General features: G+C 36.4%; 1 protein-coding gene across 16 annotated transcripts in view; it reads left to right on the forward strand.

The window, feature by feature from the left end:
- The window catches only part of PTBP2 (polypyrimidine tract binding protein 2), a 101,956-nt gene that overhangs the window by 68,949 nt on the left and 19,811 nt on the right, over positions 1-13,196 (forward strand). The window lies entirely within an intron of this gene.

Raw genomic sequence — 13,196 nt, forward strand, 5'->3', positions numbered from 1 at the left:
TTAAACTTTTGAAACTGTCAGTTGTTTGCAGGTTCTGGTAGCCCAGAGTGGTTTGAAATGGTGACCTTAGCCCAGAAGTATGTAATTATTTAATTTGGCCTTGACCAGTGGCCCAAAAAAGGAAGGGGGTGGGGTGGATAAAGGACTAAACAAAATTAATTAAAATTTAGAAATTTTTCTCTCAGAAGGAATTCATGCCCATAAAACAAAGACCAGGATACATTCGTATTTTATCGGTAAATACCAATAGATTATAAATCACTTTTCTCGTATACATAATTGTGAAAAAAAAAAACCATCCAGGTATGCATGTTATTTATTCATTGAGAGGATATACATCTCTCAGGTGTTTTTTGTCGTATGTGTACTTTTGTGTAGTCTGCCTGTTTATTCTTTTTGAATAGGATGATATGTACAATTAAAAAAAATCTTTTGTGAAATGTGGTTTTCTTAAATACATTATTGCATTTCATACACAGTGATGAAGGGAAAAACTACAAAGCTAGACAGATTGCAAATTAGTATTGCAGTAGTGAGGTAATAGAGCAATACCCAAATGTTTTCTTAAAATATATGTAGGTGATGCCTGTGTTCTTTACTTTTGTGTGTGTGTATGTGTTTTTAAACAAGATTCATTGTAGTCTTTTAGATATAATTTAATAAATTTAGGCTGTTCAGGGTTTCAGTATCCTACAAAGAAGAACGCTGCTTCTAAGTTTTTGGGTTTCTTGAACCAGAGCTTAGAAAGAACAAAAATATGGCATGGTATTTTCATGGTTTAGTAAGGCTACTTTTAGTTAATTATTGTGATGTAGGCCATTAAGTAGACTTTTCTAAAACGAAACCCCAGAGGAGAGGGGTTTTGAAGATACATATATACTGGTTTCTAAGAACTAATCTTTTTGGATCATTGGTATTGGTAGAAGGGATTCGCTATGTTTTCTGCCACCATTGGATCTCTGTATAAAGTTTGGCTCCACTATCAAAATGCTTAGATAGATGCCTTTGCAATAGTTGCCACCCTAGGAATAGCTCAAAAATTATTAACTTAATACTGGTTACTTAAATTCCACCTCTGTTGCTTGGAGTTGTGCTTTTTTTTTTTTTTTTTTTTTTTGAGATAGAGTCTGGCTCTGTCACCCAGGCTGGAGTGCAGTGGCATGCAATCTCGGCTCACTGCAAGCTCCGCCTCCTGGGTTCACGCCATTCTCCTGCCTCAGCCTCCCAAGTAGCTGGGACTACAGGCGCACGCCACCACGCCCAGCTAATTTCTTCATATTTTTTTTAGTAGAGACGGGGTTTTACTGTGTTAGCCAGGATGGTCTTGATCTCCTGACCTCCTGATCCTCCTGCCTCGGCCTCCCAAAGTGCTGGGATTACGGGCGTGAGCCACCGCGCCTAGCCTGCTTAGAGTTTTTTATGTAATTATTTTGTGACACAAACATTTAAAATACTGTAGCTTAGAATGAAATTGTCTCAATCCTAGGAGCCAAAAGTTTGATGAATATGAATACTAATATTAACCATTTTTGTGTTCTGTGTCAGGCACTGTTCTTAGCCCTTTACAAGTAAGTTAATACATCATCTCTAAATGTAGTTACCATTATCGATCCCATTTTATAGATTTGGAAAGTAGGGTACAAAGAACAGTTTGCCCAGATTCCTTTAACTTTTGAGTGGCCGAGCCCTAGCACTGAAAGCCAGGTAGTCTGGTTCCAAAGTCCGTACTCCTGACTAATAAATAGTGGAATAAAATTAGATTAGCTTGACATTTTAGCCTGTCGTCTTCTCACCTGTAGAATAGTTATCAAGAATAGTAATATACATATAGTAAAAATTTAAGTCCCATCATTTTAGCTTGCTTTTTTTTTACATACTAAGATATTTTTTGTTACCAAGTCCATTAAGTATTTAGCCTGATTATCTTATTGATTAAAATACCAAAAATGTGTATTGTTCATGCATTGATTCAAAATTGGGTACAAAACGGGTAGATATGTAACATGCAAATAATAAATTGAACTTATATTTTTATCTTTTTGACAAACAACACGTTAAAATTTATGTCAATCTTATTTTTTCAAAATCCTTTTCTATATTTTATTAAGACTAATTATAGCAAATAATAGCCATAAAATTAAACCAAAAAACTCATCTACTGCAGACATATTTGAAAGCTGTCCCCCAAGAAAGACCAAAGTAATCACACATACCTAAACATGCTAGTATTTCCCAGAAATATTAAAAATACATAGATTTTGAAGCACATTGCTGAATGCCATAGTAACACCAAACTAAAAAATACATGTAAATTAAAAATTAATATTTTATTTTCAACATAAATCAGAAATACTTGGTTAGAGGTCACATGATAATACCTGTCCTAACTGTCCCATAACTTCGGCTTTCTCATTTCATGTGTTTTAATATCTAAGAAGTAAAAAATAGTTGGAGCATGCCTCTTTATATGTGCAATTTTAAATTATGTTGACTTCTTTGGATTATTGAACTGTCCTCTGCTTTGCTATAGCTGAATTTTTAAAATGTTAATTTTGAAGTCTTAAAATGTGTCTTTTGGAAAAAACATTGGAAGAGCTAAAGTAGATAGAGTTGTTCATTTAAATTGTTTATTTTTTATTTTATTTTATTTTTTTTAGTTGGAGTACTGGCTCTGTTGCCTGGGCTGGAGTGCAGTGGCGGGATCTCTGCTCACTGCAAGCTCCGCCTCCTGGGTTCACGCCATTCTGCCGCCTCAGCCTCCTGAGTAGCTGGGGCTACAGGTGCCCTCCACCACACCTGGCTAATTTTTTTTGTAGTTTTAGTAGAGACAGGCTTTCACCGTGTTAGCCAGGATGGTCTCAATCTCCTGACCTCGTGATCCGCCCACCTTGGTCTCCCAAAGTGCTGGGATTACAGTCATGAGCCACCGTGCCTGGCCTCATTTAAAATTTTTTAACACTGGGTAAAATTTTTATTTTTGAGTCACAAATTAATTTGAAGCTGTGTCTTTTAGAGAGCTTATTCAACTCTTAATTCCATTATAAATAATATTTGAATGAATGTGTTTTACATCTGGAATGATTTTTATCATCTGAGTAAAGGAAATATGTTTGATGGTAGTTGGGAACTTTGAAGGTATTACGGGCTACAGATGAGAAAAAAATGTTACTACGTCATTTCATGTTTACATACTGACCAGCATTTTCAATGAAATAAGCTTATTACTATAGGACTATAAAATGTTTTTCAAAGGTTTAACTGTCCAGGGCAGATACTTAAGACTATCTGATCATCCATTAAAAACTTTTCACATAGTCTTGCTTAAATGGATCCATTATGTTTACCCATTATATTGTTCTCAGCTGTAGTTTTAAGAAATTTATTTCATTTGTTAATACTTACTTTCCATTACCTTCCCCTTTTCTGTGACAATCCGTTGATACTTGAAGACCTCTCTTGTATTCATCTTAGGGTTAATATTTTTAAGGCCAAACAGCCTAAATTCTATGGTAATCAACTCCAGCCTTGTGTAATGAAATCTTCTGCATAAAGATAGGTTTAAATCAAATCAGATTGCAGATTTTATTGAAGAAATTGTGTTTTTAAGAGTTGACAAATATATGTTGTATGGCTAAAACAAAGAAAATACTTCTGTTGCTTCTGCATTTAGTAGAAGAAAAACTATATATGTTTGTGACCAAAGTATAAAATATGATTCTTTCCAGGGAGGTAAAGGTTATGCAGAAGATTTTCACTAGCAGCTCTAAAAGGCTACCCTCAATTAATTGCCATGAACATTTCATAGCCCTAGAAGGATGTTGGCTCATTTCAGTGTCATCCTGGTTTATTCTTTATTGTATTATTCAGCAGTCATTTTAACACTATGCTAGACACTTTAGAGATTCAGAAGAGTAACAGGGTTTCTGTTCTCATGAAGCTTATCAGAGACAGAAAACATATGAGTTAGATCTAATTGGAGGCAAACTGAAATATATAGTGGAGTTAGTGTGGTTATCAGCACATAAATGAGTGATCCATCAACAAAAGGAGAAATTGGGAGGGTTTTATGGGCCAAAAACAGCATGATTAAATGTGATAGAGTATATGTCATGTTTTAGGTGTGATGAACATTCAGTTATGTGTGACGAATAGGATAATTGAAAAAATATGAAAGGCTATGATGCCAGAAAGTATTATGGGACAAGATCTTAAAACCAGTGTTACCCAGGGAGTATGAATTTAATATGGGAATTCTTAAACTCCTTTATGACTGGAAGATGAGCATCAGAGTGTCTGCGACCATTTGATGATATTATGTACCAAGTTTTAGATGTTTGGCTTTTTTCAGGTTATGAAAGCGGGGGATGAGTTAAGAACCACTGCTGTGAAGGATTCATCAACTATTTTTAGGCAGTTGGGTAAAAATGACCAATTTAGTTTTAAGAAACTGACTGTGGCTCCAGAGTATGTTGGAGAAGTGAAAATGGAGACTAGGAATAACAGGTGGGAGACTATTAGTCTAATTAAGATGTAATTATAAATCTAAGCTAGGAACGTAAAATGAGAATGCAAAGTAAGAAACAAATATGGGGAAAATTATATGTAAAAGTAATAGGACTTGGCATCTTACTGATGTGATTGATTATGAGAAAAATGAAGCATGTGGAGGAGTCCACTGGACAGTAGGAAATTCAGCCTAAGACTTGGGTAAGAGTTCTGTGGAGTTGTGAATTCAGAGGCCAGAGATGTGATATTTAAAATTTTGGTTCAAGATTTCCCAGGTATAAGAAAGCAAGAGGATTAAAGCATTGTAATTAAACTTTAAGCAGTGCATATTTATGTTATAGATAAGATAAACAAGAAATCTAGGGATCAAATAGGATTAAAATTAGTAGTGATCATTCAGTACAGTAGTTACGTACTGTTATTCACAAGAGTATATAAATCAAATTACAAGGAATTAAGGATATAAACGTGATAAGAAAGTATGCACTGTACTCTTTGAGGAAGTTTGCCATAGAAAGGAAGAAGAAATAGGATGGTAGATCAGAAGTAAAGCAGGACCCAGTGGGGGGAGTGTTTGCAGTGAGGCAGTATGTATAATCATTTAAAACATGGGTTTGGAGTCCTCTCAGGTTCCATGTTTGTAATGGACATAATGATAATAATCCCTTTCATTTAAGGCTGTTGTGAGGATTAAATGTGTTAATGTGCAAATAACTTTACACAGTGCCTGGTATATAATAAATGCTTGCTACCTATTAACTAGTATTTGTTTCTAAGGCTAATTTAAGTCCTAGAATTGATTGCAAGGATTAGATCAGGAGTATAGTGGACATGTTGGGATTTAAATATTTAAATATAGAGATGCTTTTTAGGACCATTGTTAGAACCAGAAGAGATTTTTTACCAAGTTCACACAGAAATGTAGGTGCATTGGCTGGGCATGGTGGCTCACACCTGCAATCCCAGCACTTGGGAAGGCTGAGGCAGAAGAACTGCTTGAGGCCAACATTTTGAGACCAGCCTGGGCAACATATTAAGACCCCGTCTCCACCAAAAAAAAAAAAAAAAGAAGTAGGTGCAGAGCTGGAAGCAGAACCGAAATCATCAGTGTTACAGTCATTATTCTTTCCTGTCACCATTATATGTCTTTATGAAGCAAGGGAGAAAGAAGAACAGATGAAAGAAGTGAGGATTTTGAAGTTGGTTGAAAGATTTGATTGAATTCTGATCTAAAAATTATAAGGCACTTGTTTAACAAGTTGAAAGTAGGAAAGTAGACATAAGACTCTACTAGATTTGGGGAAACTCTCAAAAATGGACTGGAAATTCAGCTAAAAGTGGATAACAAAATATTTCTAGAATTAGCATTTGTGGGGTGTGTGTGTTTTCACTCTAGTATTTGTCAAGCCCAGATGAAAGCATAGACAGAATGTAAGACTGGATTTATCTAAGTCTGGAATTGTGTAACATTAAAGGAATAGTAGCAAATGAGCAGAGTGTTGGCTCAAGCCTAAGCTTGAGCCTAAGCTTGACTCTATGGTAAAGTCAAGTCAAGGGAGAATAGAAAGGGGGTCACCATAAAGGTCAAAAGTGGGTTTAGTGGTTGTGTGGGAATAGGCAGATCAAGAAAAGAATGAAGTTAGGAAAGGAGATATAAGTGTTGAATGACCATTACAAAAAGAGACAGAGGAAAGAAAAATGAAGATGTATCAAAAGAAGTTGCTAATATGGATGGCAAAGTAGATGTTTTTAAGAAATCATGAGACCAGAGTCTTGGAAAAGTCATAGGATGATGCAGGGAATGGAGAAGAGGGAAATAAAGCCAGGTGCTGAAGTCTTTATGTAATGGGAGGAGATGTTCCAGTAATCCAATGGCTATTTTGATGGGAAAGAGTGTGGTATGATTGGGTGGCATTGACATCGGAAGCCATCCTCATTGATGGTGGTGGAACAGCAGTTTGAAAGTAACATTGTGCGGTGAGGTAGAGTGGCACATGATGCATCCTTATTCTTACCTTTGGAGAAAAGTTGAGGGAGACCAAAAATGACTTTTTGAGGGAATTGTAGAAGTTTCATTAGAAGAAAAGTAAGTTTTTAATTAAAAAGTTAATCTGAGGAACAGGTAGAATAAAAGTGTAGTTGTTAGTGGTAGAAGAGAATGGATTCCATAGGGCAAAATAAGAACTCAAGGGAAGGTTGGTGGAAGAGGAAGAGGATTGAATTGTTTCAAGAAAGAATAGCAGTTGTCATCCTTATGAAAAGTAAAATTTTTATTTTCAAATCAGGAAATGTAAAATGTGCCTTCCAGACCCCTTGGTGGTATACATGGGAGATTGGTTCTAGGACACACACAGTCCCATCCCCCACCCTCTGACCCCATACACCCCCTGGATACTCAAATCCACTGATGCTCAAGTTCCTTGCATAAAATGGTATAGTGTTTGCATGTGACCTATACACAACCTCTTATGTGTACTTTAAATCATCTCTAGATTACTTATATTACCCAGTACAATATAAATGTTATGTAAATGGTTGTTATAGTGTATTGTTTAGGGAATAATGACAAGAACAACTTTCTATACATTTGCAGTACACCATTGTTTTACCCCCAAATATTTTTGATCCAAGGTTGGTTGAATCGGAACCCAGAGATACAGAGGGCTGACTATACTTTAAGAATTAGAATTAGCTGGGTGTGGTGGTGGGTGCCTGTAGTCCCAGCTACTCGGGAGGCTGACGCAGGAGAAAGGCGTGAACCCGGGAGGTGGAGCTTGCAGTGAGCCGAGATCGTGCCACTGCACTCCAGCCTGGGCGACAGAGCGAGACTCTGTCTCTAAAAAAAAAAAAAAAAAATTAGAAGGGGCTGTCAGGCGTGGTGTCTCATGCCTATAATCCCAGTCATGCCTGTAATCCCAGCACTTTGGGAGGCTAAGGTGGGCATATCACTTGAGATCATGAGTTCAAAACCAGCCTGGCCAACATGGTGAAACACTGTCTCTACTAAAAATACAAATATTAGCCAGGTGTGGTGGTGGGCGCCTGTAATCTTAGCTACTCAGGAGGCTGAGTCAGGAGAATTGCTTGAACCCAGGAGGTGGAGGTTGCAGTGAGCTGAGATCATGCCATTGCACTCCAGCCTGTGTGACAGAGTGAAACTCCATCTCAAAAATACAAAAAGAATTAGAAAGGGCTTTAGAGTCCCACCACTAATGCTCTTCTGTTCAGTAGTACACAAGACTAATAACTACGAGATGTTATGAACAGGGAAAAGAAGTAAGACCAAAAGAAATCATAAATTACTTTGGATGGAACTTTTAGAATGGCAGATGGAGGGATAAATTTGACATTGTTCAAAATCATAGAGTAAACTCTCAAAAGTAAGGGGAACCTAAGGAGACAAGATGATTAAATGTAATAGGAGATACTGGAACAACAAAAAAGGGACATTAGATGCAATTTGAGGAAATCTGATAATGGACTTTTGTTGATTTATCGATATTGGTTGATTAATTGCAAGAACTAATAAATTGTAATACCATACTAATGTATGATGCTAATAATGGGGGAACTGCGGTTTCCAGGTTATATAAGAACTCTGTAATGTCTTAAATTTGTTTGTAAATCTAAACCTTTTAAAATAGCTAAAAATTATAGATACAATTTCTAAATGATTTAATTAACAAAACCAGTTTAATTCTTCAGTTGAAATGAGCAAGGTTAGGGATACCTGTGTGTTTCAGTGTAATATCTGAAAGGAAAAGAATAGATACATAATTTATATCACTTCTCTCTGGACTTAGGGTCTCTTGTCATATACATGACTGGGCATCCATCAGCTTCAGTGGAGGAAAGGTTAGGAATAATAGTGTCAGAACTAACATGAGAATTTTAGGAGATTACTGAGTCACTCAAAATGTCTGGGTGACCCAGCTGATGAGGGCCATTTCACATGAAAAAGATTCCTGCAACACCTTCTTTTCTTTAGCACATGATCGTTTATGAAGCTCTTTTACATTGTTTTATCTTTATAGCAATCCTCAGAATAGATCAAGCTTTTTTTTTTTTTTTTTTTGAGATGGAGTCTTGCTCTGTCGCCCAGGCTGGAGTGCAATGGTGCGATCTCGGCTCACTGCAAACTCGGCCTCCCGGGTTCGTGCCATTCTTCTGCCTCAGCCTCCCGAGTAGCTGCTACTACAGGTGCCTGCCACCACGCCCAGCTAATTTTTTTGTATGTTTAGTAGAGATGGGGTTTCATCGTGTTAGCCAGGATGGTCTCGATCTCCTGACCTTGTGATAGATCAAGTATTTTTATCCCTCTCATCAACATGTGTAAACAGTTTTTTCCTCACATATCTGCTGCCTTAGCTAAAGATGCAAATCATTAAAGTTAAAATTATAATTTATGTAGCTAAAAGTAATCTGTTAGAGCCAGTGTATACAATATGTGTAATATGCTTTCTATAACTTTCTCAAAGGGCCCTTGGTAAGTTTATTGTTTTCTCATTTAGCTGGGAGTTAAGAACAGAACTATTTTCTAGAATGTATTAATTATATAAATAGTGCATCATGAAATATTTTGTAGGTTTTTATATTTTTATTGCAGCAGACAGCATTTAGATTAAACCTAAAAATACCTGATTGACAAAGTAGTTTTTCAGACAAAAGTATATTGAGGGAAATTGGAGAATCTTCAGAGGCTTTAAAAGTCCAGGAAAATCTTAGACTACTCCAGTGATTTAGAACGGTGTAAAGATAGCCTAAGTAGTTTTTCTAAGTTATCAGCCGCGGGGAGGAAATAATGAAAGAGAAATACATACGAGTGGCATTAAGGACAGGTGGTGGCTTCTTTTACCTATTAAAGCATTCTTACACCATACTGTGAACTGTGTAAAAGGAAGGATCATTGGACATAATAGATTATCTGACAGGGTGGTCCGGAATGGTGGAAGTAAATCGACAGGTGAGGACACTGAATTAGCATTCAGACAGTGGGGACCTCACACCTTGTATTCCCTTTTTTGGTAAGATTTTTATTACCTCCTTAGAAAGAGGTAAATTCATCTATTTCGAGCCCAAATTTTTCTGTCTAGAAGATTGGTAGTCTTATTTTTACTAAAGTACAAGATTATTTAGTAAAAGGTAGCATTCTCTGGCTTTTTTTTTTTTTTTTTTTAATGTTTCAGATCTGTCACACTAAAAAGGGCTTTAGACCAGGTGTTGTGGCTCACACCTGTAATCCCAGCACTTTGACAGGTCAAGGTGGGAGGATTGCTGGAGGCCAGGAGTTTGAGACCAGCCTGAGCAACATAGTGAGATCTCAGTCTCTACTAAAAATAAAAAAAATTAGCCATGCCTGGTGGCATGTGCCTGTAGTCCCAGCTACTTAGTAGGCTGAGGTGGGAGGATTGCCTGAGCCCAGAAGATAGAAACAGCAGTGAGCCATGATCATGCCACTGCACTCTAGCCTGGGTGACAGAGCAAACCTTGTCTCAAAAAATAAAGGGTGGGGAAGCTTTAGCCTAGGCTTTTAATTCTCAATTACCATTATAAATTTATTTTAATTATTAACTAATTACTTTAATTCTCAATTACTATTTTTCCATGAAAAGGCTTGATGTTCTAAACAGTATTATACCACCAAGTTATCTCTACTGGAAAACCCAGATTTCAAGAAAAAAAAAATGTATTTTGAAAACAATTATGTCTTAAATATTTAAAATTCTTTTAAACATGTTTTTAACCATCTTTAAATTTTTTTGGTAAGTAATTTTCATTAGATTGTTAAAATGTATAGTGGCACGGTAGGGTTGTATCTCAAGATATGAAGCAGTTTTTCATAAAAATAAAGTATTAACCTTAGGCTGGTATGTTTAGATCAATACTGTATTTAAATAGATTGATAATTTTTTATATATTTTATGAATTTATACTTTTTCCTGAGATTTCAGGAGGGAAAAATGAGTAGGAGATGACTGAGAGCTTAAAGTTTGGGAGTGTCAATTAACTCAGCATTCTTTTAAAAAACATGTGTCATATATTACAGCATTTTCTTTTATTTGAAGTGAGTAAATGTATCTTTTTAAATTCCTTAGTAATTTTTGAGCACTCCATATGTATAAAGCATGTGAATATTTGGTAGCATTTTACAAATGTCCAGAGATTTGTGAGAGTTCCTGAGATCTTCATAGGGGGCCCACAAAGTTTAGTATTACTTTTCACGGTAATACTAAAGTGTATTTTGCCTCTTTTTACTTTTTCTCTTAATAGCATACAGTGGTAACTGAAGGCTAATAGTATGTGTGTTTATGTGCTTTAAAAAGTTCGTGGTTTTGGCCAGGCGCAGTGGCTCAGACCTGTAATCCCAGCACTTTGGGAGGCTGAGGCAGGTGGATCACCTGAGGTCAGGAGTTCAAGACCAAAACCAGCCTGGCCAACATGGTGAAACCCCATCTCTACTAAAAATACAAAAATTAGCCAGGCATGGTAGTGGGTGCCTGTAGTCTCAGCTACTCGAGATGCTGAGGCAGGAGAATCACTTGAAGCTGGGAGGTGGAGGTTGCAGTGAGCCAAAATCTCGCCATTACACTCCAGCCTGGGGGACAAGAGCAAGACTCCATCTCAAAAAAAAAAAAAAAAAAGTTATTGGTTTTAATTTTGGAAATGACAACCATTAATAGAACCCACATTAGGCCGGGCGCGGTGGCTCATGCCTGTAATCCTAGCACTTTGGGAGGCCGAGACGGGTGGATCACGAGGTCAGGAGATCAAGACCATCTTGGCTAACACGGTGAAACCCCGTTTCTACTAAAAATACAAAAAATTAGCCGGGCGTGTTGGCGGGCGCCTGTAGTCCCAGCTACTTGGGAGGCTGAGGCAGGAGAATGGCATGAACCTGGGAGGCGGAGCTTGCAGTGAGCCGAGATCACGCCACTGCACTCCAACCTGAGAGACACAGCGAGACTCCGTCTCGAAAAAAAAAAAAAAAAAAAAAAGAACCCACATTAACAAAAACTCCTTGTGATTCTCCATAGTTTTAAGACTATAAAGGGGAGCTGAGACCAAAAAGTTTGAGAACTTTTTCACTGTGGGATACAAAGTTGAAGACAATTATAGTTAAATAAGCAGGAGATACAGAGTATTTTAATGAACAGTAGATGGTTATAAGAGTCAAGAGATGTACAGAGAAAATGCTAGTGATTAGAGTTTTTAGATTATTTTAATTTTGGTAACTAATTATAATTCCTCAGTTAAGATTTTTTGGCTTAGTGGGCCCTTAGAATTACTTCTTCCTGTTAGAATTAAAAGTGAAACCAGAAATTAAAGTGATTTAATTTTTTTATTGTGGCAAAGATCTAGTCCAAATATCTTTGATGGACTTTTTGAAAACAGACTTTATTGTTAAAAAGGGAATTTGAGGCTTGGTACTGAACTTCTTCTGCATGCCATATTGAAGTTGGTGGTTTTTTGTTTGTTTGCCATCAGTGGGATCTCATACAGACTATGGAATTTAATAGAATTTTTAAGATACTGTTTTTCCTAAAAGGTAGCTAACTAAAGGCAGGAAAATAGAATGATGTAACAATATAATGACTACATCTGGAGTTTCTGCTACTAATAAATAATTGTATTGTCAACTTTAGTCAAATATTCTGTGCATTCAGTCAGAGCTATCTGAAAATACTGACGAATAGTATTACAATATGGGGAGGTCACTTCTCAAGACTGCAAGAAAAAAAATTGTTGTGTGTAGGAATGTTTGCCTAGGAATTAGGAATGTATACTTGACAACAAGTGAACGTATCCATTGAATGTTAAATGAGAACAACTTATGGGGAGGATAGTGAGAGGTATAGTATTTAACATGGAAAAGTTAGTAATATAGTAGAATATTTGGTTGAAAAGATCCACATTGGTGTATTCAAAGACACACTGAAGACTATTGTGCATTAGTAAGTATTAAACATGAGAATTCTTAATTTTAAAATTGGACCCTAATTTCTGAGATTTACTTTAAGAATAAAAGGGGATGAAACGAGATTGGCCATGAGTTGATCATTGTTAAAGTTGGGTGATGGCTACTTAGAGTTGCATTATTTTAGTCACTTTTACTTTTGTATATGTTGGAAATCTTCCAAAACAAAATGTATAGCCATAAAAAAAAGGGAGCAAAGTAAGAAAAAAAGGAGAGCCTAAAAAAAAAGGTACAGGCAAAAAGGTGTGAAAAGAAACTCATCAAGAGCAAGAGTATTAAATGAGAAACATATGCCACTGACAGAGTTCTCAGAAGAGATAAAGGCTGAATTAAAAAGAGATGGAGGGGAAAGTTTTATAAGTCAAAAACTTAGGTTAAGGTTTGTGAATATTAAAGAGCGCTTCAGATTGCCAATGAAAGGTCATAGTAGTTTCTATAAAGTCAAAAGATCAAAAACTTGACTTAAAAGAGTAAGATCTCTAAAACCAAAGGTAACAGCAGATTCTTATGAAATGCACCAGAAAGCTGGAAAGAAAGAAGAAATAAAATGTGAACTTATGGAACAAGAGTGCTAAGGGCCTGTTCTACCCAGGTATGTTATGAAATCAAATTCATTTAGTTTGGGTGTTTGTTCCTTTATGTTGGGAAGATAAAAAAGAACATATAATTCGTTTCTTGAGTGAACCAGTATTTATGAGAAATAAGCTGGGTGTGT

This window comes from Homo sapiens, chromosome 1 (genome assembly GCF_000001405.40).
Source record: "Homo sapiens chromosome 1, GRCh38.p14 Primary Assembly".
Taxonomy (NCBI): domain Eukaryota; kingdom Metazoa; phylum Chordata; class Mammalia; order Primates; family Hominidae; genus Homo; species Homo sapiens.